Below are 24709 nucleotides of genomic sequence, written 5' to 3'. Positions count from 1 at the left end.
TGGATTGCTACTTTCATGTGCTCAGAAACGAATCATGGAATGTAAAGTGAGTGTTAGAAACAGGAATACTACAAATACTACGCTTGTGGGAAGGTTCCCAGAGCTGATGTCCTCAGGGAGGATGATGGAGAGAAAGGGAAGGTTCCCAGAGCTGATGTCCTCAGGGAGGATGATGGAGAGAACAAGGGACAGGGAAGGCAAAGGGAGAGGCCTGGAGTTGCAGGAAGGAAAAAAGGAGAAAAAGAAGGGTTCTCAAAGAGAAGTGTCAGTAGAAAAAGAAGCTGTTTGGGAAAACTGGCTTCTGATGGAGTGATGATTTAACTGACGGCCTAGGGAAGCCATAAAGGAGGTCAGTTAGGAAAAATGCTACAGCGTAAGCAGCCTCCATTCCGGAAAATTTCCTCAGGACCAGTGCAAAGAGCAAGGGAAGGGAAAGGAGCTAAAGAAAGCAGAGTAAGCCAGGCGCAGTGGGTCACGTCTGTAATCCCAGCACTTTAGGAGGCTGAGGCAGGCGGATCACCTGAGGTTGCAAGTTCGAGACCAGCGTGACCAACATGGAGAAACTCCTGTCTCTACTAAAAATACAAAATTAGCCGGGCGTGGTGGCGCGTGCCTGTAATCCCAGCTACTCAGGAGGCTGAGGCAGAAGAATTGCTTGAACCCAGGAGGTGGAGGTTGCAGTGAGCCAAGATCGTGCCATTGCACTCCAGCCTGGGCAACGAGAGCAAAACTCCATCTCAAAAAAAAAAAAAAGAAAGAAAGAAAGCAGAGTAAGACTGGGCTTGGTGGCTGAAGCCTGCAATCCCACCCCTTTGGAAGGCCGAGGCGGGCGGGTCACCTGAGGTCACGGGTTTGAGAACAACCTGGCCAACAAGGTGAAACCCATTTCCATTAAAAATACAGAAATCAGCCGGGTGTGGTGGCACATGCCTATAATCCCAGCTACTCAGGATCTCCTGCCTCCTACTGAGGCAGAAGAATTGTTTGAACCCAGAAGGTGGAAGCTACAGTGAGCCAAGATTGCGCCACTGCACTCCAGCCTTGGTGACAGAGCGAGACTCTGTCTCAAAAAAACAAAAAAGGGCCGGGCCGGGTGCAGTGGCTCACGCCTGTAATCCCAGCACTTTGGGAAGCCAAGCAGGCCGATCATGAGGTTAGGAGTTCCAGACCTGCCTGGCCAACATAGTGAAACCTTGTCTCTACTAAAAATTAAAAAAAAAAAAATCAGCCTGGCATGGTGGTGGGCACCTGTACTTCCAGCTACTTGGGAGGCTGAGGCAGGAGAATCACTTGAACCCAAGAGGCAGAGATTGCAGTGAGCTGAGATCACGCCATTGCACTCCAGCCTGGGCGACAGAGTGAGACTCCGTCTCAAGAAAAAAAAAAAAAGAGTGCATTGTGGTTTTTAAATTAATATTTTCCCAAAGGATATGTATATATACATATATATATAAAATCACCATGTTGGCCAGGCTGGTCTCGAACTCCTGGCCTCAGGTGATCCACCTGCTTCAGCCTCCCAAATTGCTGGGATTACAGGCGTAAGCCACCGCGCCCAGCCCACAGTGCACTCTTGTTTTGAATAATTAAAACAAATAAAAATACATTTGGGGTTTCTCTGAAAAGCATTCTCTAAACAGTGCCTTCTTTCTTCCAGTCCCTCCCCTCCCCTGATGGTGCTCGGCCTGGGAATGGGATATAACACAAACATCCTGAAAGCAAAGCAAATACTTTCTTTCTCCCTAAGCCCCCTATATATATTAGACACAGGGTCTCTCTCTGTTGCCTAGGCCGGAAGGCAGTGGTGATCATGGCTTACTGCAGTCTCAACCTCCCAGGCTCAGGTGATCCTCACACTTCAGCCTCCTGAGTAGCTGGGACAATGGGCTTGCTCCACCACACTAGCCTTTTCTTTTTTCTTTGTAGAGGCAAGTTCTCACTCTATTGTCCAGAGTGGTCTTGAACTCCTAGGCTCAAGCAATCCTCCTTCCTTGGCCTCCCAAAGTGCTGGGATGACAGGCATGAGTACCTGGCCACAAAAGGTATTTTAAATCCAGTTCAATATTAACGGTCAAGATCAGGCAAGGTGGCTCATGCCTATCATCCCAGCATTTTGGGAGGCTGAGGCGGGTGGATCACCAGAGGTCAGGAGTTTGAGACCAGCCCCGCCAACATGGTGAAAGCCGGTCTCTACTAAAACTACAAAAATTAGCTGAGCGGCCGGGCGCGGTGGCTCATGCCTGTAATCCCAACACTTTGGGAGGCCAAAGCGGGCAGATCACCTGAGGTCGGGAGTTTGAGATAAGCCTGGCCAATATGGTGAAATCCTGTCTCTACTAAAAATACAAAAATTAACTGGGCGTGGTGGCATGTGCCTGTAGTCCCAGCTACTGGGGAGGCGGAGGCAGGAGAATTGCTTGAATCAGGAAGCAGAGGTTGCAGTGAGCCGAGATTGAGCCACTGCACTCCAGCCTGGTGACACAGAGAGATTCTGTCTCAAAAAAAAAAAAAAGAAAAAGAAAAAATTAGCCAAGCGTGATGGTGCATACCTGTAATCCCAGCTACTCTGGAGGCTAAGGCAGGAGAATCGCTTGAACCCAGGAGGTGGAGGTTGCAGTGAGCCAAGATCATGGCACTGCACTCCAGGCTGGGCAACGGAGTGAGACTCTGTCTCAAAAAAAAAAAAAAAAAATTAATGGTCAAATCTTTAAAAATTATCAGAAGGTTTTGACTATCGGTTTCTTTTCTTTTCTTTTCTTTTTTTTCTTTGAGACAGAGTCTCACTCTGTCCCAGACTGGAGTGCAGTGGCACCATCTCGGCTCACTTCAACCTCCACCTCCTAGGTTCAAGCTATTCTCCTGCCTCAGCCTCCTGAGTAGTGGGAATTACAGGTGCATGCCACCATGCCTGCCTAATTTTTGTATTTTTAGTAGACATGAGGTTTCACCATGTTGGCCAGGCTGGTCTCAAACTCCTGACCTCGTGATCTTCCCGCCTCAGCCTCCCAAAGTGCTGGGATTACAAGCATGAGCTGCTGTGCCTGGTAGACTACTGGTTTCTTTTCTTTTCTCTTCTCTTCTTTTCTCCCCTCCCTTCTCCTCCCCTCCCCTCCCCTCTTCTCTTTTCTTTTTTGAGACGGAATTCGCTCTGTCATCCAGGCTAGAGAGCAGTTGCATGTCTCGGCTCACTGCAATCTCCTCCTCTGGGGTTCAAGTGATTCTCCTGTCTCAGCCTCCAGAGTAGCTAGGACTACATACGCGTGCCACCATGCCCAGCCAATTTTTGTGTTTTTAGTAGAGACCGGGTTTCACCAATTTGGCCAGGCCGGTCTCGAACTCCTGACCTCAAGTGATCCACCCATCTCGGCCTCCCAAAGTCCTGGGATTACAGGCATGCGCCACTGCACCCAGCTATTGTATTATTGTATTGGTTTATCTTCTTTCTTTCTTCCTTTCTTTTTTTTTTTTTTTTTTTTTTTTTTTTTGAGACGGAGTCTCGCTTTGTCACCCAGGCTGGAGTACAGTGGCATGATCTCGGCTCACTGCAACATCTGCCTCCCGGGTTCAAGCAATTCTCCTGCCTCAACCTCCTGAGTAGCTGGGATTACAGGCATGTGTCACCATGCCCAGCTAATTTTTGTAGTTTTAGCAGATATGGGGTTTCACCATGTTGGTCAGGCTGGTCTCGAGCTCCTGACCTCGTGATCCACCCGCCTCGGCCTCCCAAAGTGCTGGGATTACAGGCATGAGCCACCGCGCCTGGCCTATTGGTTTATTTTCTAAAACAAGACAAAATAAGGCCGGGCGCGGTGACTCAGTCCTGTAGTCCCAGCACTTTGGGTGGCCGAGGCGGGCGGATTACCTGAGGTCAGGAGCTAGAGACCAGCCTGGCCAACATGGTGAAACCCCGCCGCTACAAAAATACAAAAAAAAAAAAAAAATTAGCTAGGCATGATGGCAGGTGCCTGTAATCCGAGCTACTCAGGAGGCCGAGGCGGGAGAAGCGCTTTAACCTGGGCGGGGCGGGGCGGGGCGGGGAGGGCGGCGTGGGGGCGGAGGTTGCAGTGAGCTGAGATCGCACCACTGCACTCCAGCCTGGGCGACAGAGCGAGACTCCGTCTTGAAAAAAAAAAAAAAAAAAAAGGAAGAAAGGCTGGGCAGAGTGGCTCACGCCTGTAATCCCAGCACTTTGGGAGGCTGAGGCAGGTGGATCATGAGGTCAAGAGATGGAGACCATCCTGGCCAACATAGTGAAACCCCGTCTCTACTAAAAATACAAAAATTAGTTGGGCGTGGTGGTGCTGGCCTGTAATCCCAGCTACTCTGGAGGCTGAGGCAGGAGAATCCCTTGAGCCCAGGAGGCAGAGGTTGCAGTGAGCTGAGATGGTGCTACTGCACTCCAGCCTGGGCGACAGAGCTAGACTCCGTCTCAAAAAAAAAAAAAAAAAAAAATAGCTGGCGCGGTGGCTCACTCCTGTAATCCCAGCACTTTGAGAGGCCAAGGCCGATGGATCACTTGAGGCAGGAGTTCGAGATCAGTCTGGCCAATATGGTGAAACCCCGTCTCTACTAAAAATACAAAAATTACCTTGGTGTGGTGGCACATGCCTGTAATCCCTGCTACTGGGGAGGCTGAGGCAGGAGAATCACTTGAACCTGGGAGATGAAGGTTGCAGTGAGCTGAGGTTGTGCCACTGCACTCCACCCTGGGCAATACTCTGTCTCAATAAAAAAATAATAATAATAATAAAAGGAAATAATAATAATAATGAGGTCAGGCACGGTGGCTCATGCCTGTAATCCCAGCACTTTGGGAGGCCGAGGCGGGCAGATCACCTGAGGTCAGGAGTTCGAGACCAGCCTGGCCAGCATGGCGAAACATGGTCTCTACTAAAAATACAAAAATTAGCCAGCCATGGTGGCGGGTGCTTGTAATCCCAGCTACTTGGGAGGTTGAGGCAGGAGAATCACTTGAACCCGGGAGACGAAGGTTGCAGTGAGCTGAGATCGGGCCATTGCACTCCAGCCTGGGCAAGAGTGAAACTCCATCTGAAAAAAAAATAATAATAATAATACATCTAGTGTCAGTTTAATAAAATAACTAAAATAGGCCGGGCGCGGTGACTCATGCCTGTAATCCCAGCACTTTGGGAGGCTGAGGTGGGCGGATCACGAGGTCAGGAGATGGAGACCATCCTTGGTCAGGAGATCGAGACCATCCTGGTTAACACGGTGAAACCCTGTCTCTACTAAAAAAAAAAAAAAAAAGAAAGAAAGAAAATAACTAAAATAATTTAAGTGTTTTGTAAATAATTGAAGTGGAAGATTAAATGTTCTGACTCAAATTGTCAAATAGAAGATAACTGTGCAGTCAGAGAAGTAGCTTCTTTCTTTTTTTTTTTTTTTTTTTTGAGACGGAGTCTCGCATTGTCACCCAGGCTGGAGTACAGTGGCGCAACCTCAGCTCATTGCAAGCTCTGCCTCCCGGGTTCACACCATTCTCCTGCCTCAGCCTCCCAAGTAGCTGGGACTGCAGGCTCCCGCCACCACGCCCAGCTATTTTTTTTTTCGAGACAGAGTTTTGTTCTTGTCTTTCCCAGGCTGGAGTGCAATGGTGTGATCTTGGCTCACCGCAACCTCCGCCTCCCAGGTTCAAGTGATTCTCTTGCCTCAGCCTCCCAAGTTGCTGGAATTACAGGCATGCACCACCACGCCCAGCTAATTTTCTGCTTTTAGTAGAGACAGGGTTTCTCCATGTTGATCAGGCTGGTCTCGAACTCCTGACCTCAGGTGATCTGCCTGCCTTGGTCTCCCAAAATGCTGGGATTACAGGTGTGAGCCACCGCGTCCGGCCCTGGCTTCTGTCTTTAACCAACCCTAAACACCTAAAGAGTGCTTATTAATTGCATTTTATTTCATAGGATTCTTCTAGTTTGAATTTTTCAACAAGGCAAGAGGGAGGGACGTCAAAGTCCCTGGAGACGCGAAAGCTACAGCACTCCACTGTGCACTGTGTTTTGCACCAGGGTGCACCTACAGATAGAACGCTGGGATTCGAGTCACCACAAAAACAGTACCTTCCACAGAAATTCCTATTTTGAGGGTGGACTTCAGTTCACAATTAGACACCAACTCTAAGAAAGCAGTTTTTGTGGTGTGTGTTTTCTCTTTTGTTTCGTTTATTTGTTTGTGGGTACATTGGACTATCCTTTATTTGGAGAGATGGCAGCCAGACCTAGAGAAAGCTGAAATTCTCACTTGCTAGTTAGATAAACATCGGTTCTTGTCACCCCAATCATCTAGATTGTGTGACAGATTTTGTCAGGGGCAGGCCTCACTGGAGTTCAGCTTTCAACAAAGCGGAGGGGATTGGTTGTGTCAAGGATATTTTAATTGGCTGTCTACATTGTGTGGACTCATTAGATAATTGCCAACCTTCTTCACTTTCTGTTGGGTAGACCTGGCTACAGAAGACAGCGTTTGGAAAAGAGATTAGTAAGAAGAGAGGCTGCTGGGCTGGAGAGCTCCTGGCAAAGGGGGACAAACTTGCAGGGAGGGTTGGGGTGGAAAACAAAAGGCCCTGAGCTGGGGAGAAACATCATGAGAGAACAGGAAGGACTCTGGCTGGGGGTGGGATTGGAAACTTCCTCAGAAATCAAGGTTCAAAGAAGACAGTGAGGAAGTACAAATAGACTCATCAGGTCAGGCTGGACCAGAGAAGCTGTGGCAGACGCAGGTGGTCACAGATGCCAGGGAAGAGGCCAGAGGGGCCTCCCTTAGGAGGTAGCTCCGTCCTAGAGAGTTGTTTGTCCCAAAGGCTCCAGAGAAAATGAAGGGGGAGGGGTGGGGAGTGCTCATTCCCAGAGGGAGGGAGGCAAGCTTGGCAAATTCCAGCCCTGCAAGGGTGAGCCCGGCCTATCAGTGTCGAAGGAGGGCTCAGAGGAAGCAGAGGGAGGTGTCTCATCACCACTGCACCAGGGGGTAGGGACTGGGGAAGCAGGGCTGGCCCAGGGGGCTAAGGTCATCCTAGCAGGAGGGGGCTGGCCCAGTAGCAAATGGGCCAAGGTTCCAAATAGGACTTATTACAAGAAAAACAAAAACAAATTCAACATCGTTAGTGGTGGGTTCCTCATCTTTATCTGTTGTAAGTTTTCTAAAAAAAAAAAAAAATCTGAACTCCAACCCACCTTAAGTTCACCTTATTAAAAAGTAACCCTAGGTAAAATAGCACACAAAAAAAAGAGAGAAATAAATAAAAGGTAAGGGGGACCCAAAATATCTATCAATAAGGAAATCATTAAATAAATCATCACATCCTGGTGGATAAGAACTGTAATTGCAACTTTGGGAGGCCAAGGTGGGAGAATAGCTTGAGGTTGAGGGTTTGAGACCAGCCTGGGCAAAGCAGCAAGGCCCTCTCTACCAAAAATATAAAATTTGGTGGCATGGTGGTGCATGCCTGTAGTCCCAGCCACTTAGGAGGCTGAGGCAGGAGGATCTCTTGAGCCTGGGAGGTCGAGGCTGCAGTGAGCCATGATCACACCACTGCACTCCAGCTTGGACAACAGAGCAAGACCCTGACTCTAAAAACATAAACAAACAAACAAGTAAATAAATTATGACATCCAGACTAAGTAAAACAATGAAGCAGTTAAAAACAAAGAGAGAGGCCAGGCACGGTGGCTCACGCCTGTAACCCCAACACTTTGGGAGGCAGAGGCGGGCGGATCACCTGAGATTGGGAGTTCGAGACCAGCCTCACCAACATGGAGAAACCCCATCTCTACTAAAACTGCAAAATTAGCCAGGCATGGTCGTGCATGCCTGTAATCCCAGCTGCTCTGGAGGCTGAGGCAGGAGAATAGCTTGAATGAGGGAGGCAGAGGTTGCAGTGGGCTGAGAGAGCGCCATTGCGCTCCAGCTTGGGCGACAAGAACGAAACTCTGTCTCAAAAATAAATAAATAAATAAAAATAATAAAAATAAAAACAAAGAGAGGGCCGGGCGCAGTGGCTCACGCCTGTAATCCCAGCACTTTCGGAGGCCGAGAGGGGTGGATCACGAGGTCAGGAGATTGAGACCATCCTGGCTAACACAGTGAAACCCTGTCTCTACTAAAAAAAATACAAAAAATTAGCCGGGCGTGGTGGCGGGCACCTGTAGTCCCAGCTACTCAGGAGGCTGAGGCAGGAGAATGGTGTAAACCCGGGAGGCGGAGCTTGCAGTGAGCCGAGATGGCGCCACTGCACTCCAGGCTAGGCGACAGAGCGAGATTCTGTCTCAAAAAAACAAAAAAACAAAAACGAAAAACAAACAAGGATAGAAGCACATGTATTAATGGAAGATAAATTATTCAGTTAAAAGAAATTCTAGGCCAGGTGCAGTAGCTCATGCCTGCAATCCCAGCACTTTGGGAGGCTGAGGTGGGTGGATCACGAGGTCAGGAGTTCAAGACCAGCCTGGCCAAGATGGTGAAACCCTGTCTCTACTAAAAATACAAAAATTAGCCGGGCATGGTGGTGGGTGTCTGTAATCCCAGCTACTTGGGAGGCTGAGGCAGAGAATTGCTTGAACCCAGGAGGCGGAGGCTGCAGTGAACTGAGATTGAGCCACTGCACTCCAGCCTGGCGACAGAGCGAGACTCTGTCTCAAAAAAAAAAAAAAAGAAAAGAAAAATAAATTCTAGAAGAAATGTATGATTCCCTTTGGCATGCATGCGTGTCTGAGTTCAACAGGGGAAGCGCACATGCGACCGTCCACAGTGCTCATGTGAGGGGAGGGGCAGGGATTGAGGCAGCAGAATTAGGAGTCAAACTCCAAATTTGCCAGATCATCTACAAGGAGGGAATGACAGAGCCTGGATGTGCTTGTGGGAACCCCTGCGGAGTCCAGGCTATGTCTGGGCAGGTGTCCTCTCCCAGAAGGCTCTTTTTTTTGTGGAGAGGGTAGAAGCTGGAAATAACACGTTGTAATCGATAATAACAACGCAGGGGCTGGCAGTACTTTGGACGCCCAGTCTCCTCTCCTCTGGACAGCCACGTTGTCCAGGGAGAAATGAAGGGCTGTGGGTCAGGCCACAGGTAAGTCATGAGAAAGACCAGAATAAGAACTGTGAGTCAGCACCCACCTGGCTTCTTCAGACGCATAGTGGCTCCTGTCATCTTAGCGCCTTTGCTCTGATCGCCCCCGGAAGACAGTCCAGTCCTGGTTAAATTCTCTTCCTCTGAGCTTCAATGTCATTTCCTCCTGGCCCCCTCCAATCTCATTTACTTTGCTCCCGCTGTGGCACATGTTCATGGAAGCCAGACCTTCTCCTCATGGTGCACCGTCTGTCGTACTGTCTGTGTGGTTTTGCAGTCCCTCCCCAGACGGTGACTGCAAGCACCACAGGTCGGAGCAGGGACCTGCCCTGGCCAATTTGTTCACGGGCCACCTCCCCAGCCCTGCCATGGAGCAGTTGCTCAACAGATATTACCAGAGCTGGTAACTGCTGAAGCGAGTGCAGTCTCCACTGCGATCCCCTCTGTCTCAGACCTGGCATTGGGAATTTGGTGTTAAGTGGGTGTGGCTGCCAGGAAGGCACTGGAACAAAACCCTGCCCTGTGTTTCCTAAGCAGGTCAGCAGGTGAATGCGTGAACCCGCAGCCCAGCCCTGGCAAAACTTTAGTTGTCTGATGAGATAAACACCTGCCCACACCCAAGACTCCAGGCCCTCTGCTGCAAGCCTGGGTGGGTAGAAGTGGCAGGGGCGGGGGGGAGCAGAAGGGAGAGAGAGGCACAAGTGACTATCTGTCACTGCATAGCCTCACTGGGCTCTGCAGCCGGAGAACACACGAGGGACATAAGGGGTGCTGCCGAGGAGGGTGAATGTCACCTCTCCGCCCCACCCACTCAGCATGGGAGTGACACTCTGAAAACCCCTGTCAGGCCAACAGGCATTTTCAGCTTTCCCCAGTTACCCTGGAGGAGGGTTCACCAAACTGCCACCTGGGTGTGTGATTTGGCTGAAGAGCTCTGCCAGGTCCTTCCCACCCACTAAATAAGGGGAAACAATGGTAGGGAGCAGATGTTTGCCCCCAAGCTCCTCAGGGTGGAGGCAGCTTCTCCTTCTTCTGCCTCTGTGTGGGAGTCAACTGAGGAAGATGGAGCCTCCCGGTGGGTGGAAAGGAGGTGTAGAGTGAATGGGGAGGGGAGATGCTCTAAAAGCGTGCCCCAGATGGTGTTGAGAGGAAAATCCCTGGGTTAGAGCTCAACATCCTGGCTCTGTTTCAGTGGCTGTCCCCCCACCTTCACCTTTCCTAGTTATACATCACAGCATCTTTGTCTGTAGAATTCTGGGGGTGGGAGGTGTGACCCTGAGGGCCCCACATCTTCCTCGGTGCACAGTCCCCCAGCACCCACCTCCCCAGAACCCCCACCTGCACCTGCACTGCCTGGCCTTCCTTCCTTAGCAAGACAGAATTCCTGACAGCCCCAGGGGTTAGGAACAGCTGCATGTGAAGCCCACAGCGGCCTTTCTGAAGCTTTACCCAAGTTCTGCTCCCTGGAGCCACATGGAAGGAAGTTCTGCCTGACAGCCTTTCCAGCACCCTGGGAAGCTGCCGATTTATTTTCTTTACCCCTGACTTCACTTATCTAGGATCCCAACAGAGACTGACAAAGCCAGAGACCCTGATGGTTTAGGATTCCAAGGTTTCTTATGCCTCTAGCTGCTCAGCCAGGAGCTTTCTTGATTTTGTGTTTTTCAAATGAGAAGCATCTTACCAGCTAAGTAAGTCTAAGAGTGTCATGACTCATGGACCTTGGAAACCAATGGTCAGTAGTTTGGGATTCTTTGGGTGGATCAAGAGATTTTCTTGGGGACCTAGGAGCACCTCGATGTGTGGAGGGCCTGAGCAGATGGACTAGTGCCCTCCTCTGGATGGAATTGGAGGTTCCCCTTACGCCCCAATCCCTCCACCCCTGCCCTGGGGCTTTTTTTTTTTTTTCTTTTTTTGCTTGGTGGAATGGGAGAGTACTTTTCAAAGTTACAGTTACATAGAAAAGTTAAAATCACAGCACTATTGCATATCTGAGTGCCAAGAATTACGTTTGTCTTGCTGCAGGTGAGGGAAATGAGGTCACTTCTCAAGAAGTTTGCATTTTCTGAGAAAATGTGGACACAATGGAAAAGCCAAGGCATAAAACCATACACCTGAGAAGGCTGAAGCAAATTGCTCCAGGACTTACAGCACAGTGGGTACGTGTTCCGCAGGTGAGAGGCAGCCTCTGCAGAGGCTGACAAGTCCTTTTTGGATGACACTGTGACTCAGCCCTCATATTCCCCTCTCCAGGGCGATGATCCACCTGGTGCTGTGGCTGCTGAGATTCTAGTCATCCTACTCGCTCTAGGCTGGTGTGATTCTTTTGTTTGTTTGTTTGTTTGAGATAAGTCTCGCTCTGACGCCCAGGCTGGAATGCAATGGTTTGATCTCAGCTCACTGCAGCCTCTGCCTTCCGGGTCCAAGCGATTCTTGTGCCTCAGGCTCCTGAGTACTGGGACTATAGGCGCCCAACAACACAACTGGCTAATTTTTGAATTTTTAGTAGAGACGGGTTTCACCATATTGGCCAGGCTGGTTTCGAACTCCTGACCTCAAGTGATCCGCCCACCTCGGCCTCCCCAAGTCCTGGGACTACAGACCTGAGCCACTGCGCCTGGCCTAGACTGGTGTCATTCTGACATTTCCAGGCCACGAAGCAGTCCCAGACTCAGCAGCCCTGGGCATCTGCCGTAGCCCTGTTGTATGATCTGCTCTGCCACTCATGAGGCATGACTCACCCTCCTACCCTCTCCGAGCCTCAGTTTACTCATTTAAATCTCAAAGCCTCCACAGATAATTGGGAAATGAAAGGAAAATCGTGTAAGTATGAATACCTTCCACAGATAGCGGGATCTCATTAATACTAGTTTTCCCCTTTCCATACCTCCCAGCAAAGAAAAGTTGGTAACTGCAGGCCTCTGAACTAGTGCCCCACATCGGAGATACCGGCCACTTCTTACTGAACATTTGCCTGTGTCTACTATAAGGATATAAGATCATCTCAACCTCCCAAGAAGCCGATATTAGCACCCCCATTTTTGCAGCTAAAGAAACTTAGGTGCAGAAAAATGAAATAGCATATTCAAGGTCACAGAATGACCTGGGGCAGAGCTACAGTCTAGACCCCCATCTGTCTGATATAAACCCCATTCTATGAACCCTCAACATTGCTACTCCCCTTCCAACGCCACTGGAGCAGAAAGCTCCAAAACTGGGTGAAGCACATACAGCTCTATAGCAGGCAACCCCATTCCTGTGTTCCACCTAGTGAAGAACCAGGAGGTTGTGCATGACCAAGGTGGTTCAGGGTGAAGGTCAGGGGCTGGCTGAAAATGGAAGGCATCTCAGGCTGGGTCTTTGACTGTGATTATGTCAGGGTTGGGGCTGAAATATTGTGAGTGGTAACTGAGGTTTCAACCTCTTCCCTAGGAAAGAGTGGGGGTGGGGTGGTGAAGCTGGTTAATTGAGATGGGAGGGTTGGGGTGGGGGCAGGCAGAGCCTTCCAAGGCCTTCAGATCCGGTGCTGTTACCGTAAACAAGTGCAACCCTCAGCTCCCTGGAGGGCCTGGGGAGCAAATGCGTGCATCCCTGCTTCGTTCCCAGCAGCTGTTCACTGGAGGACGCAGCCTGCCATCCCCAGCCGACCTCCTCCACAGCCTTCCCCAGCCCCCAGATCAAGCCTCAGGAAGTGGCGCTGCTGAGAATCTCTCCTCCAGCCCTGCCTCCTGCCGAGAGTGTCTTCAGCGCCAGCATTTCCTGGCCTAATTAAGCTGGGTAATGAGTAGCTAAGAGGAGGGGATAAAAGCCCTAGGCGGCTTAGAGCTGGGACAGTTTATGACAGGGGCGTCTGCAGCTGGTGACATTCCTAGGAAAATTATTTCTCATAACCCTGGGAAGTTGCATGCTGTTTCCTTAGCAGCAGAGTAAGCCTCAAAGGTGAGCATGGGGAACACTGCATCTTAAGGGGGCCTGACTGGAGGGTCCTAAAGGTGACAGGTGGGGGGTGCCATGTGTCTGTAGGACTGATCAGAGCTGCAGAGCAGCTACAGGCCACCCGGGCTAATGCCCTTAGCTTAGTCCGAGGCCGGGGCATCCGTGGTGGCCACGTGACTCCCCAGGGCTTGGGTTTTGTGTTTCTTCTGAATGATAGGACTCTGCACAGCATGCAGTTTCTAAGACCGTATCCTTTCAGGGAAGGAAATCTGAGCTAGAGGCTCTGATCCTGACTCCTCCGCAGCCCACTATTAAGGGTGTGAAAATTGTGTTTTGGAAAATATCAGGTGCCCCAGCAGCCAGGAGTGGGTAGAAGAGCTCTCAGACAGGGGCCCTGGGGGAAAGGGGAAGGTGGGCACCAGGCGCTCTGGACACCAGGGCCCGCCCTTCCAGAGACACTCAGGAGCCCAGCGTTGATTATCCCCACTCCCACTCTGCAGCCACAGCCTCAGCCCCCAAATTCTCCTTCTTTGGCACTCAGTTTTGTTTGTTTGTTTTTTGTGTCAGTTCTGTTTGTTTTTGTTTTCTTCAGTCACCTTGCACTCCTTCCTTAGTTGGCCAGGGAACTTCGTGCTGTATGGGGTGGAGCAGGGCAAGGCCCAGGCTCTGGAGCTCGGCCCATCCCCACGTCTCTGAGTGAACTTGGGAGATCAGGTGACCTCTCAGCCATGGTTTTCCCATTTGTAGAATGAAGGCATTAGTGATGTCTAGTGTCCAGTATGTTATGAACCGCAACCTCCACTTGGCCTGTGAGTGGCGAGCGAGGCTGAAATTGGGCCATGTTTCCCAGACCTTTCAAATTAGGTTACCCAGTTTCACCCAAGAACATTTTTGCCCCAATTATCCTGTAAAGCAGAGTCATAGCTAGTGAGTATGTATTTTATTATTATTATTACTGTTATTATTAGAAACAGGGTCTCATTCTGTCATCCAGGCTGGAATGCCATGGTGTGAACATGGTTCGACCTCCCGGGCCCAAGCAATCCTCCCACCTCAGCCACCCGAATGGCTGGGACCACAGACACGTCACCACACCCAGCTAATTTTTGGTATTTTTTGTAGAGACTGGGTTTCACCATGCTGCCCAGGCTGGTCTCAAACTCTTGGGCCCAAGCGATCCTCCTGCCTTTGCCTCCCAAAGTGCTGGGATTACAAGCGTGAGTCACTTCGCCTGGCTGAATACCTGTTTTTGATGATGGAAGGGCCCATTCTCCTGCACTCTTGTAATCAATATTTGTTCTTTTCCAATTTTCTAAACAAGACCTGTCTGGTGCAATGTCCTCCGAGCCCCGCTTCCTCCACGGCTGGAGCCGGGAGCGGCAGGGAATGTGTGGGCATTCCGTCTTTCCTTCTGATCGCCGCCCTTCACCCTCTGCCCTTGGCTGTTCCCACAGTCCCATCTATTCCCCTGGCCTCCTGCTTGTCTCTCTAAACGAGGAGTGAGTATGCAGATCACAAATAACCTGGTGTTTCCGTTTTTCCCTCTGGCGGTGGTTGCCCCTGGAGTGGAAGGAGACCTGGTGGCCAGATGCCTGACATGGCCGGGACAGCTGGTGCTCTCAGCATTCCTGGGGAAGGTCCCTGGGGATTGGACTTGAGGGGATCACACCAAGAAGAGGGGTGAGCAGGCCTGGCAGCTCACCCCTGTGACCCAGCTCACCTCTGGCTGGGCTGCCTGGCATGATCCCCCGGCCCGGCCGGCAGCAGCTGCGCAGGCCAGGGGAGCCAAATGGCTCTGCATGTGTAATCCTAGCTAAAAAGAGAAAGGGGAAAGATCTTGTAATTTCCCAGGACACAGACAACTGAAACCTGACACTCTTGCCAAGGAAGTCCTTTCACTGAGAGAGAGAGAGAGACAGAGAAGGAGGGAGGGAGGGGAGTGTGTGAGAGCCCACTCTGGAAGGTTCCGGGAGAGACAGAGAGAAGGAGGGAGGGCGGGGAGTGTGTGAGAGGCCATTCTGGAAGGTTCCGGGGCCAGCAGGAAGCCCTGAGCACAGCTCTCCTGTGAGTACCCCATGTGTCATCTGCCCTAGTCTTTGGCCTGAGCCAGGAGATGTGGCTGGTCTGCCCAGTGGGCACAGCAGTGGCGGCAGAGGCCCGGCCGCCATCCGTCTCTGTTCATTGGGAGCCGCTGCCCCTTCCTTTCCCTGCCTTTTGTGTCAGGGAGCCAGATTGTGCTGTTGAGAAAAATGTGCTCGAAGCCCTTCAACTCGGCCAGTAAGAGCCATTCTTTCTTCCTGTCGCTCAGCGCTTTGTAAAACCAAATGTATGATCAGAGTGGAAGGAGTCCAGCCTGACTTGAACGGGTTAGGGTCATTCATCTTTGTTCAGCTATAAGGAATTGCAGGTGTTTGTTAGGCTAAAGCCACAGAAATTTGGGGAGGCCACTTTGTGACCAGCTCTGTGCTGGGTGCAGCTCTGGGGGACACAGGCATGTATGACAAGTGTCTGTCCTTGAGGTGTAGTTTGCCATCTGGCTGGAGCAACAAGACTTTCAGCCACAAGGATCAGTGAACGATACATGAAGGAGTCTCCAATCAAGAACCTGAAGGTGGGATACAGCCAGCCAGTGGTTCTGGGGGTCCGTCCTGGTGTGCTCTGTGGAGAAGCCTTCTTTTAGGTGAAATGTTCTCTGCCGCCATTCTGTGTCACCCGCTGTTGATTGCGCTCCTATGATGTGCCAGGCGCTGACCGGGCACCAGGGATGCTGCCGCCCTGGCGTAGCGCACTCTAAAGGCTCTGACTTCACTCTTATCTGTGCATGTTTGTATTTTATAGTTCATTTGTTTATTTACACACCACATATGTTCAGTGTATCCAAAAAGATTCAAGGCAGTTTATCATTAATGGCACAAGTGCCAGAAACCCCAAAACCAGATTAAAGGTTGAGATCCAGGGTCTAGAGAAAGCTGGGGCTAAGGAATAAGCCCATCAGAAAAGTAGGATTCAAGGAAGTGCTGCAACATTTGAACCTAAAAGTTGGTTCCGAGCTGCCTGGTGGTTAGGTCAAAAAGGGAAATAGTGTGTCTAATATAAAGGAAACATTTCTTGTGTACGTCCCTTCTTTCTGACGCCAACCTTCAGGCTCATTTCTTACCATCATCCCATGCACACTCCACCTTGCTTGACTGCATTCACTTCTGCAGAAGCACTGAGGGTCGGGCTCATTGGCACCTGAGCTTCTCCCACCTCCCCACTGCTCTGTCTGCTTAACTCCGGTGAACACCACTGGCCCTGCTTCAACAGGCAGTGCGGTCACTACTTCACATGCCTGCCTGAGCCCGCAGTCAGCGCCTGCTGCCCTCCCCGTGTCGATGCCTCTCCCACCTGGCTCTGTCACGGCCCTCTCAGGGTACTGTCATTGCTCCCTGCTTCTTTCCCTACCTGCTGGTGAGTTGCTGCAGACCAGGAGTCCTGTCCCTCATCTCCACTATCTCAGGGCCTAGCACAGTGCCTGCTGCACTATAGCCAATAAATACTTGCCACTAACAATTATTTTGCACTTAATGATGTGACAACCACCATGGTAATTGTCTTACAAATATTATCTTTTCTTTTTTCCTTGTGGCAGGGTCTCACTCTATTGCCCAGGCCAGAGCTCACTGCAACCTCTTCCTCCTGGGTTCAAGCAACTCTCTTGCCTCAGCCTCCCAAGTAGCTGGGATTACAGGTGTGCACCACCAAGCCCTGTTACTTTTTGTATTTTTGATAGAGACTGAGTTTCGCTGCGTTGGCCAGGCTGGTCTCCAACTCCTGACCTCAAGTGATCTGCCCGCCTTGGCCTCCCAAAGTACTGGGATTACAGGTGTGAACCATTGCACCAGGCCCATTTAACTCTTTTTTCTTTTTCCCCTGAGATGGAGTCTTGCTCTGTCGCCCAGGCTGGAGCGCAGTGGCGCAATCTTGGCTCACTGAAATCTCCGCCTCCCAAGTTCAAGCAGTACTCTGAGTAGCTGGGATTACAGGCGTGCACCACCACGCCTGGCTAATTTTTGTATTTTTAGTAGAGATGGGGTTTCACCATGTTGGCCAGGCTGGTCTCGAACTCCTGACCTCGTGATCCACCCGCCTTGGCCTCCCAAAGTGCTGGGATTACAGGCGTGAGCCACCGCACCCAGCCCATATATAATCTCATTTAACTCTTAAAATAACCCTGTGACACAGTTGTTATTATGACCATTTTACAGGTAAAGAAACTGAGATTAAATGAGCCGAGTAACCCAAGGACTCCTAATGGTGGACCTAGCCTCAAACTCAGATCTTCCTGACTTTGAAGCCGGTGGAAAGGATGAGACATTTTGCATTTATGGCCTTTTATTGGAATTATTTTTATCTGTTATTAGATTATGAGCCCTCAGAGGAAAGGGGGAAAGACCTCCCCACATGCACAGCAGAGAGCACGTTGCTTCGCACACAGTAGGAACTCCTGAAGTATTTCTCAGCAACAAGAGTTCTTTTTTTTTTTTAGACGAAGTCTTGCTCTTGTCGCCCAGGTTAGAGTGTAGTGGCGCAATCTCGGCTCACTGCAACCTCCGTCTCCTGGGTTCAAATGATTCTCCTGCCTCAGCCTCCCGAGTAGCTGGGATTACAGGCGCTAGCCACCACGCCCAGCTAGTTTTTGTATTTTTAGTAGAGACGGGGTTTCACCATCTTGGCTAGGCTGGTCTCAAACTCCTGACCTCAGGTGATCCACCTGCCTCGGCCTCCCAAAATGCTGGGATTACAGGCATGAGCCACTGTGCCCGGCCAAGAGTTCTTAACAAAGACATGGGGAGAATTCTATCGCCGGCTTGCAGTAAGACTGAAACTTACAAGGCCCTCACCACCACCCAGTTGGCTTCATCACACTGTGGTATTCACAGGCCTTAGAACTTACAGCTGAAAAGGACCTTAGAAATCAGAGACTCCAACCCCCATGTTTCACAGCCCAAGAAACAGTTGCAGAGAGATCAAATGGCTCAACTAAGGTCATACAGCTCATTAGCAACAGCAAGGGTAGGGACAGATCTGACTCCAACTCCCCGGAATTGCTTTCCAATTTGGTCAAAAATTTTACCTGGATTCAGCAAACAAGGTGACAAAAGGCCAGAGCGGGGAAGCCCACCAAGGCAACACCCCTCGGGAGAGTCACTAGTGGGCACTGGCCTTGGCTCTCCAGCCAGCCTGCTCAACCGCAGGCAGACTTCTCCCTTGCCCCTCCCCCAGCCACCATATTTCTTCCAGTAGCCACTCACCACCTCCTGCATGACCAGGTCTTTCTCAGGCATCTCTTGTTTGTGGGAAAGGTATTGGTGAATATCAGTCCTCCAACCGTCAGTGACTCCCTCCTGTGGACGCAGCCTTGGCTCAGACTCCTAAAGGAGGTGGGGCTCTGAGCTCTATAGCGGAGCTCACAGGGTGATTCTGCCCCCCTCCACCAGGACATTCTGATTGTCATAACTGCGGGAGGCAGACAACTTGCTACTTCACCTGGAGAGTAGAGGCTGACGATGCTGCTAAACATCCGACAGTGCACAGGACAGCCTCCAAAACAAAGAAATATCTGGCGCAAATGTCAGCAGTGCTGAGGATGAGAAGCCCTGCTGGACAAATGGGAAGAAGAGCTCTGCCCGCTGATTCCTCCTGGCAGAAAAGTTCCCACTGGGCTCCTCTCTACCCTGCCCAGTGGGTCTGCAGGTACCTCTTCAGAGCCACTGGGTTTTTGGTCTCCTTTTTTCCTACCACTTCCACCAGCCATTTGGTGTTTCCGTTTTGTCTCCAACAAAACACCAAAAAAAGGGCAATGATTTTATTGAGCACCAAATGGGTTCACGGCAGAATGCTTGGTGTTTTTGGTGTTTTATGTATCTTACATTAGCTTTGCCTTGTCACTTAATTCCACCTGAAAAACAAAAGAGTAATTTAACTCTGAGTCAGAGCCAGATATTGTTAACATTTTACCAATGAGAAGACAGGCTCAGGGAGGTCAAGTAATTTGTTCAAGGTCACTCAGCCATTAACTGTTTCAAACCCAGCTGTGAGCTATCCAGGCTACTGTTACTTTCCACACGAAACAGCAGCAGGCTGTGCAGACAGGTATGAGACAGTCAGCAAATTAAAGGTTGTGTTTGTCTTTCTCAGACGCCAAATCCATCCCCTGCCTTGTCCACAAGCAGGAAAGATAGAGTTCTGGGGAAATGTGGTCTGGGCATGGTGGCTCACAACTGTAATCTCAGCACTTTGAGAGGCCAAGTCAGGAGGATCGCTTCAGGCCAGGAGTTTGAGACCAGCTTGGGCAACATAGGGAGACCCTGTCTCTACAAAACACTTAAAAATTAGCTGGGTGTGGTGGTGTGCACCTATAGACTCAGGAGGCTAAAGCGGGAGGATTCCTTGAGCCCAGGAGTTCAATGCTGCAGTGAGGAAAGGTCACCCCACTGCACTCCAGCCTGGGAGACAGAGCGAGACTCTTACTTTTTCTTTCTTTCTTTCTTTTTTTCTTTTTGTTTGTTTGTTTGAAATGGAGTCTCACTCTGTCTGTCGCCCAGGCTGGAGTGCAGTGGTGCGATCTTGGCTCACTGCAGCCTCCGCCTCCTGGGTTCAAGCGATTCTCCTGCCTCAGCCTCCTGAGTAGCTGGGACTACAGGCACACGCCACCATGCCTGGCTAATTTTTTGTATTTTAGTAGAGACAGGGTTTCACTATGTTGGCCAGACTAGTCTTGAACTCCTGACCTCGTGACCCACCCACCTGGGCCTCCCAGAGTGCTGGGATTATAGGTGTGAGCCACTGCGCCCGGCCGACTCTGCTTCTTAAAAAAAAAAAAGAAAAAAGAAAAGGGCCAGCCACGGTGGCTCACGCCTGTAATCCCAACACTTTGAGAGGCCAAGGCAGGTGGATCACTTGAGGTCAGGAGTTCAAGACCAGCCTGGCCAACATGGTGAAACCCCGTCTCTATTAAAAATACAAAAATTAGCTGGGCGTGGTGGTGGGTGTCTGTAATCCCAGCTACTTGGGAGGCTGAGGCAGGGGAATCACTTGAACCCGGGAGGCGGAGGTTGCAGTGGGCTGAGATCGCACCATTGCACTCCAGCCTGGGTGACAGAGCTAGACTCCATCTCAAAAAAAAAAAAGAAAGAAGAAGGAAAGAAGGAAAGGAAGAAAGGAAGGAAGAAGGAAGGAAAGAAAAGGAAGAAAGGAAGAAAGACAGACATAAGCCTGGGGGTGAAGACAGGCTAGTCCCCTGCCCCATCACCTTCCTAATTGCAGTGTCTTCACCTACATGCCTCAGAACTAAGGTGAGCCCTACTAACCCAGAGTTAAACTCTGAACTTCCAAGAAAAGCTCTGGAGGAGCTCCATCACCCAGCTCCTGGCACACACACCCCTCCCTGGGAGAAGGCACTCTGAGGTTCCCCTCCCCAACAGTTTGGGCCTCCATAGTGCCTACCATTGGCGCTGGGGACTTATTAAACAGCCCTGATGCAGGGCTTCCGACACCAAACCCAGAGTCTGTCGTGACAACCTTAACGTTGTTAATAAGAGGATACTATGTGCATGGTAACATGTGTGTATGAGTGTGTACGTGTGTGTGCATGCACACATGTGCATGCTACTGAAAAGGTGGCCTTCATTCAGTGTTTAAACTGGGCCTTGGCCTCCTGGCCTCTTTGAGCTGCTTCCTGCTGACCTCCATCCCGGGGATGAGCATCCCCTGCAGTCGGGAATGGAACTGGGCCCCTCCTGGCCTCCTCTGCTCAGATTAACCCCTTCCTCCCAGTTTGCCTGTGCCTGGCAGTGGGGCTCTGGGCCAAGGGGCCAGACACTCACTGGCTCCAGGGCTGGCGGATGCCATAAACCCGTTTTCCTTGGGGACTCCAGAGCTCCACATCTTACTTTCAGAAAGCACAAGTGTTTTGTTGGAAATGGCCTCAGGAGGAGGGAGAGCCCAGGGCTCTATACACATGTTCCTCATTTGCCATTGGTGGGGCAGGGGCTGCGGCAGGGGACTGTGCTGGGGAGGCAGGCATGGGAGGGGAGAGAGCAGCTGCAGCTGCTGCCGGAAGTTTGGCTTCAGGGAGGAATGGAGGGAGAGAGTGCAAGAAGAAGGGGTGGGACTTGGGGACAGGGGCGGTGTCACGGGGGAGGAGGGTGCAGGTGGTGACTTGTTTATCTGCTCAGCTGTTTTGTTTCCAGGAGCCTGAGAGAGAGACAGAAGCAGCTGGGAGGAGAAAAATCAACGCGGCCAGGGGCCCTACTGGTCCTTCTGCCTTAGCCACAGGTTCTGAAACCAAAGCAAAACCACCAGAGAGTGATTCATGTGGGTATGGCCCTCCCTCCCCCTGCCCAGAAAGGTTTCTCTTGAGCCCATATGCTAGTTTCTGTCATGCAAACGCCCTGGCAATGCCTTCCTTGCCTTGGCGCAATGGCTCTGATTGGGTAGGCATCTCCGGGGGTTAATACTGGCACAAACTCATGTAAATCTTCCTGGGCCTAAGTCTGGTGTACTCTCATATGTGAATTGGCATGGTCCTGGAGGGCTAGTCAGCTAGCTCCTAGCCTCGAGATCGGCCTGGACCAAACCAAAAAAAAAATCATCTCTGGTGAAACAGGATAGCCACCCCACCCCCTGCTCAGCATTCCCCAGTGCCTCCCTTCACAGTGGCCAGTTTGGATTCTTCTCACCAAACGCTCAAGACCTGTACAGGTTACTTATTGGTCCCCTTCATGCCCCAGATGCAAATTTGGCATGTCTCATTTGCATTCTAAAGTGTTTGGAGGCAAGGCTGGGATGAGCTTAATTTGCCCTGATGTCTTTTGACCAGGTTAGTAAACATCCCTCCAGCCCATCTCAGCACTTGAGAATCTGGAAGGCAGCTATGCTTTAATTACAGTGCAATTTCAGGAGTTTGCTTGCTGTTCCCCCTTGGCTCTTTGCCTAGCTTATTATTTTCATCTTGTTGTTTGTTTGTTTAAATGAGAACTTTCGTAGACAATTCCCTCTCCCGCCTCCCCCAGAGGCCAGTCTGTGTTGCTAGAGGACTTTTTCTGCCTCCCTCTTGGTTTACAAAGCCAGGGCATCTCTGTTGACAAAGGGTCTGCGATCTGGCACTGGGCCTGGCAGTTAGGGAGTGTGTAAGAAATGCAGATGCCTTTTGCAGATGCCTGCCCTGCTCCTCCTCTAAGCAGCCAAAACATCCTGCACCACCTCGGGAAGACCCCACATCCCAGCTTGCTGGTCTCTGAGCACTCTGCCCCGCCAACCCTATAGCGCTAGGAAGGCAGGAAGGATGGAAAAGGCTGTGGGGGATTGAGTAAGGGATTTGGGAATGAGGGACAGTGACACTGTAGGTGGGTTGGCTTAGCAGGGGGATTGGGAGTGGCCAGCTGGAGTGGTGGAAAGAACTGGGGACAGGGAGTCAGGAAGCTGAGCTTTTATTCATCCCAGCTTTGCTACTGACAAGTTAGGTGGTCTTGGGGCAGACTGGGCCAAATCTGGGCCTTCCTGTGTAAAACGCATGCTCCCATCTCAAGGTCCTTTTCTACTTTACAGATTCTCTTGCTTTTAGAATGCTAATTTCATTGACTGTGGCCTGTTTCCTTCTCCAGAGACAGGATAACCCAATAAAATCGCCCCTTAGGTGGGGTGTGTTGGCTCACACCTGTAGCCTGTAATCCCAGCACTTTGGAAGGCTGAGGCAGGTGGATCACCTGAGGTCAGCAGTTTGAGACCAGCCTGACCAACAAGTTGAAGCCCCATGTCTACTAAAAATAGAAAAATTAGCAGGGCGTGGTGGTAGGTGCCTGTAGTCCCAGCTACTTGGGAGGCTGAGACAGGAGAATTACTTGAACCTGGGAGGCAGAGGTTGCAATGAGCTGAGATCATGCCACTGCACTCCAGCCTGGACGACAGAGCGAGACTCTGTATAAAACAAAAACAACAACAACGAAAAATTACCCCTTAATGGTGGTTGGTTGGTCAGACAGCCAGCTTGAATTGCTGTCTTTTTCCCAAACCCAGATTCCCTGGCTGAGGCACCAGTTAAAACTTTTATCTTAGGGAAGCTCTGGGAGTTGCCTCTTGCAGGTCAGGGGTTCCAAAGGGCAGAAGCTCCAGCATACCATCTTCTTGAGCATTTCCGGTTCAGATTTCTATGGGATTAATGGCTCCTGCACCTTCTACCTCCCAGGGAGGCTCCCTGAGCTCTGCTTTATATAAGGTAAGTGCTCTTGGGCTTCAGATGGATTCCATTTCATTTATCAAACGTTTCTTTGAGCACTTACTCTGTGACTGACATTGCTGGACCCAAAGGAATACAGAGATAACGGTTGACTTAGTCCTTATCCGAATAGAGTGGACCCACCTATTGGTGAGGCCAAATTTAATGGAACTCTCCGAAAACAATTCTGTCAAGGTTGGGCACGGTGGCTCGTGCCTATAATCCCAGCACTTTGGGAGGCTGAGGCGGATGGATCACGAGGTCAGGAGATTGAGACCATCCTGGCCAATATGATGAAACCCCGTCTCTACTAAAAATACAAAAATTAGCTGGGCGTGGTGGTGCGTGCCTGTAGTCCCAGCTACTTGAGAGGCTGAGGCAGGAGAATCGCTTGAACCTGGGAGGTAGAGGTTGCAGTGAGCTGAGATCGTGCCACTGCACTCCAGCCTGGCTACAGTGCGAGACTCCATCAAAAAAAAAAAAATTCTGTCAAACATCTCCCATTTCTCCCTTCAACCTAAAGAACATGGGAAAATAAACCAAGCGGACTGATAAATGGATTTCAAAGGTGATAGTGGAATTTATTTGTTACATTTAAGAAACTTAGCCTTAAGAAATGTATTCTGGTAGATTGTACTTACAAAGGCTTTATCGACTATAGTTGCAATAATAACAAGAATAATACCAGCTATTCTTTCTTGAGTGCCTGCTATATATGTATCATGCATTGTGGCAGAAGTTTTACATCCTTTATCCTATGGGATTATTTAGTGAGGGAGGCGCTATTAAAATCTCCATTTTTATTATGTTTTAACCTGTTTTTTTTTTTTTTTGAGACAGTCTTACTCTGTTGCCCAGGCTGGAGTGCAGTGGCGTGATGCTCAGCTCACTGCAACCTCCGCCTCCTGAGTTCAAGCGATTCTCCTGCCTCAGCCTCCCAAGTAGCTGGGACTACAGGCGCGCGCCAGCATGCCTGGCTAATTTTTGTATTTTGGGTAGAGACGGGGTTTCACCATGTTGGCCAGGCTGGTCTTGAACTCCTGACCTCAGGCAATCCACCTGCCTTAGCCTCCCAAAGTGCTGGGATTACAGGCGTGAGCCACCCCACTTGGCCCTAACCATTTTTTTTTTTTTAAGACAGGATCTGGCTCTTTTTCCCAGGCTGGAGTGCAATAGCACAATCATAGCTCATTGCAGTCTTAAACCCCTGGGCTTAGGCAAGCCTCCTGGCTGCCTGGGACTACAGATATGCACCACTACACCCAATTAATTTTTTAAATTTTTTCTAGAGACGGGGTCTCCCTATGTTGCCCAGGCTAGGCTTGAACTCCTAGGCTCAAGCCATAACTCCAAGGCTAGGACTGGCATTCTAGTGAAAATTCAAGCAGTCTCCTGGCGGGTGGGTTTTGCCTCAGCATCTGTGATGCAGTCAAATG

At 50.4% G+C, this 24709-nt stretch overlaps 1 long non-coding RNA gene across 1 annotated transcript, besides 4 other annotated features; it reads left to right on the top strand.

Moving 5' to 3' along the window:
* Positions 9050-10038: an enhancer, noted in NCBI's record as "H3K27ac-H3K4me1 hESC enhancer chr22:17750393-17751381 (GRCh37/hg19 assembly coordinates)". NCBI's record gives its function as "activates a minimal SCP1, AML or CMV promoter by ChIP-STARR-seq in primed H9 embryonic stem cells {active_cell/tissue: H9 hESC(primed)}" and the evidence as "EXISTENCE:reporter gene assay evidence [ECO:0000049][PMID:30033119]".
* CECR3 (cat eye syndrome chromosome region, candidate 3) lies at positions 12808-22682 on the top strand. Its single transcript, NR_038398.2, has 3 exons — positions 12808-13018; positions 18496-18751; positions 21235-22682. It is a non-coding gene; the product is annotated as a cat eye syndrome chromosome region, candidate 3 (long non-coding RNA).
* Positions 14359-15185: an enhancer, noted in NCBI's record as "H3K27ac-H3K4me1 hESC enhancer chr22:17745246-17746072 (GRCh37/hg19 assembly coordinates)". NCBI's record gives its function as "activates a minimal SCP1, AML or CMV promoter by ChIP-STARR-seq in naive and primed H9 embryonic stem cells {active_cell/tissue: H9 hESC(naive and primed)}" and the evidence as "EXISTENCE:reporter gene assay evidence [ECO:0000049][PMID:30033119]".
* Positions 15186-16012: an enhancer, noted in NCBI's record as "H3K27ac-H3K4me1 hESC enhancer chr22:17744419-17745245 (GRCh37/hg19 assembly coordinates)". NCBI's record gives its function as "activates a minimal SCP1, AML or CMV promoter by ChIP-STARR-seq in primed H9 embryonic stem cells {active_cell/tissue: H9 hESC(primed)}" and the evidence as "EXISTENCE:reporter gene assay evidence [ECO:0000049][PMID:30033119]".
* Positions 18151-18736: an enhancer, noted in NCBI's record as "H3K27ac-H3K4me1 hESC enhancer chr22:17741695-17742280 (GRCh37/hg19 assembly coordinates)". NCBI's record gives its function as "activates a minimal SCP1, AML or CMV promoter by ChIP-STARR-seq in primed H9 embryonic stem cells {active_cell/tissue: H9 hESC(primed)}" and the evidence as "EXISTENCE:reporter gene assay evidence [ECO:0000049][PMID:30033119]".
* Positions 22683-24709: the final 2027 nt, after the last annotated feature.

This window comes from Homo sapiens, chromosome 22 (genome assembly GCF_000001405.40).
Source record: "Homo sapiens chromosome 22, GRCh38.p14 Primary Assembly".
Taxonomy (NCBI): Eukaryota; Metazoa; Chordata; class Mammalia; order Primates; family Hominidae; genus Homo; species Homo sapiens.
The sequence above is the reverse complement of the archived record's forward strand: the minus strand, read 5'-3'. Positions and strand labels throughout refer to the sequence as shown.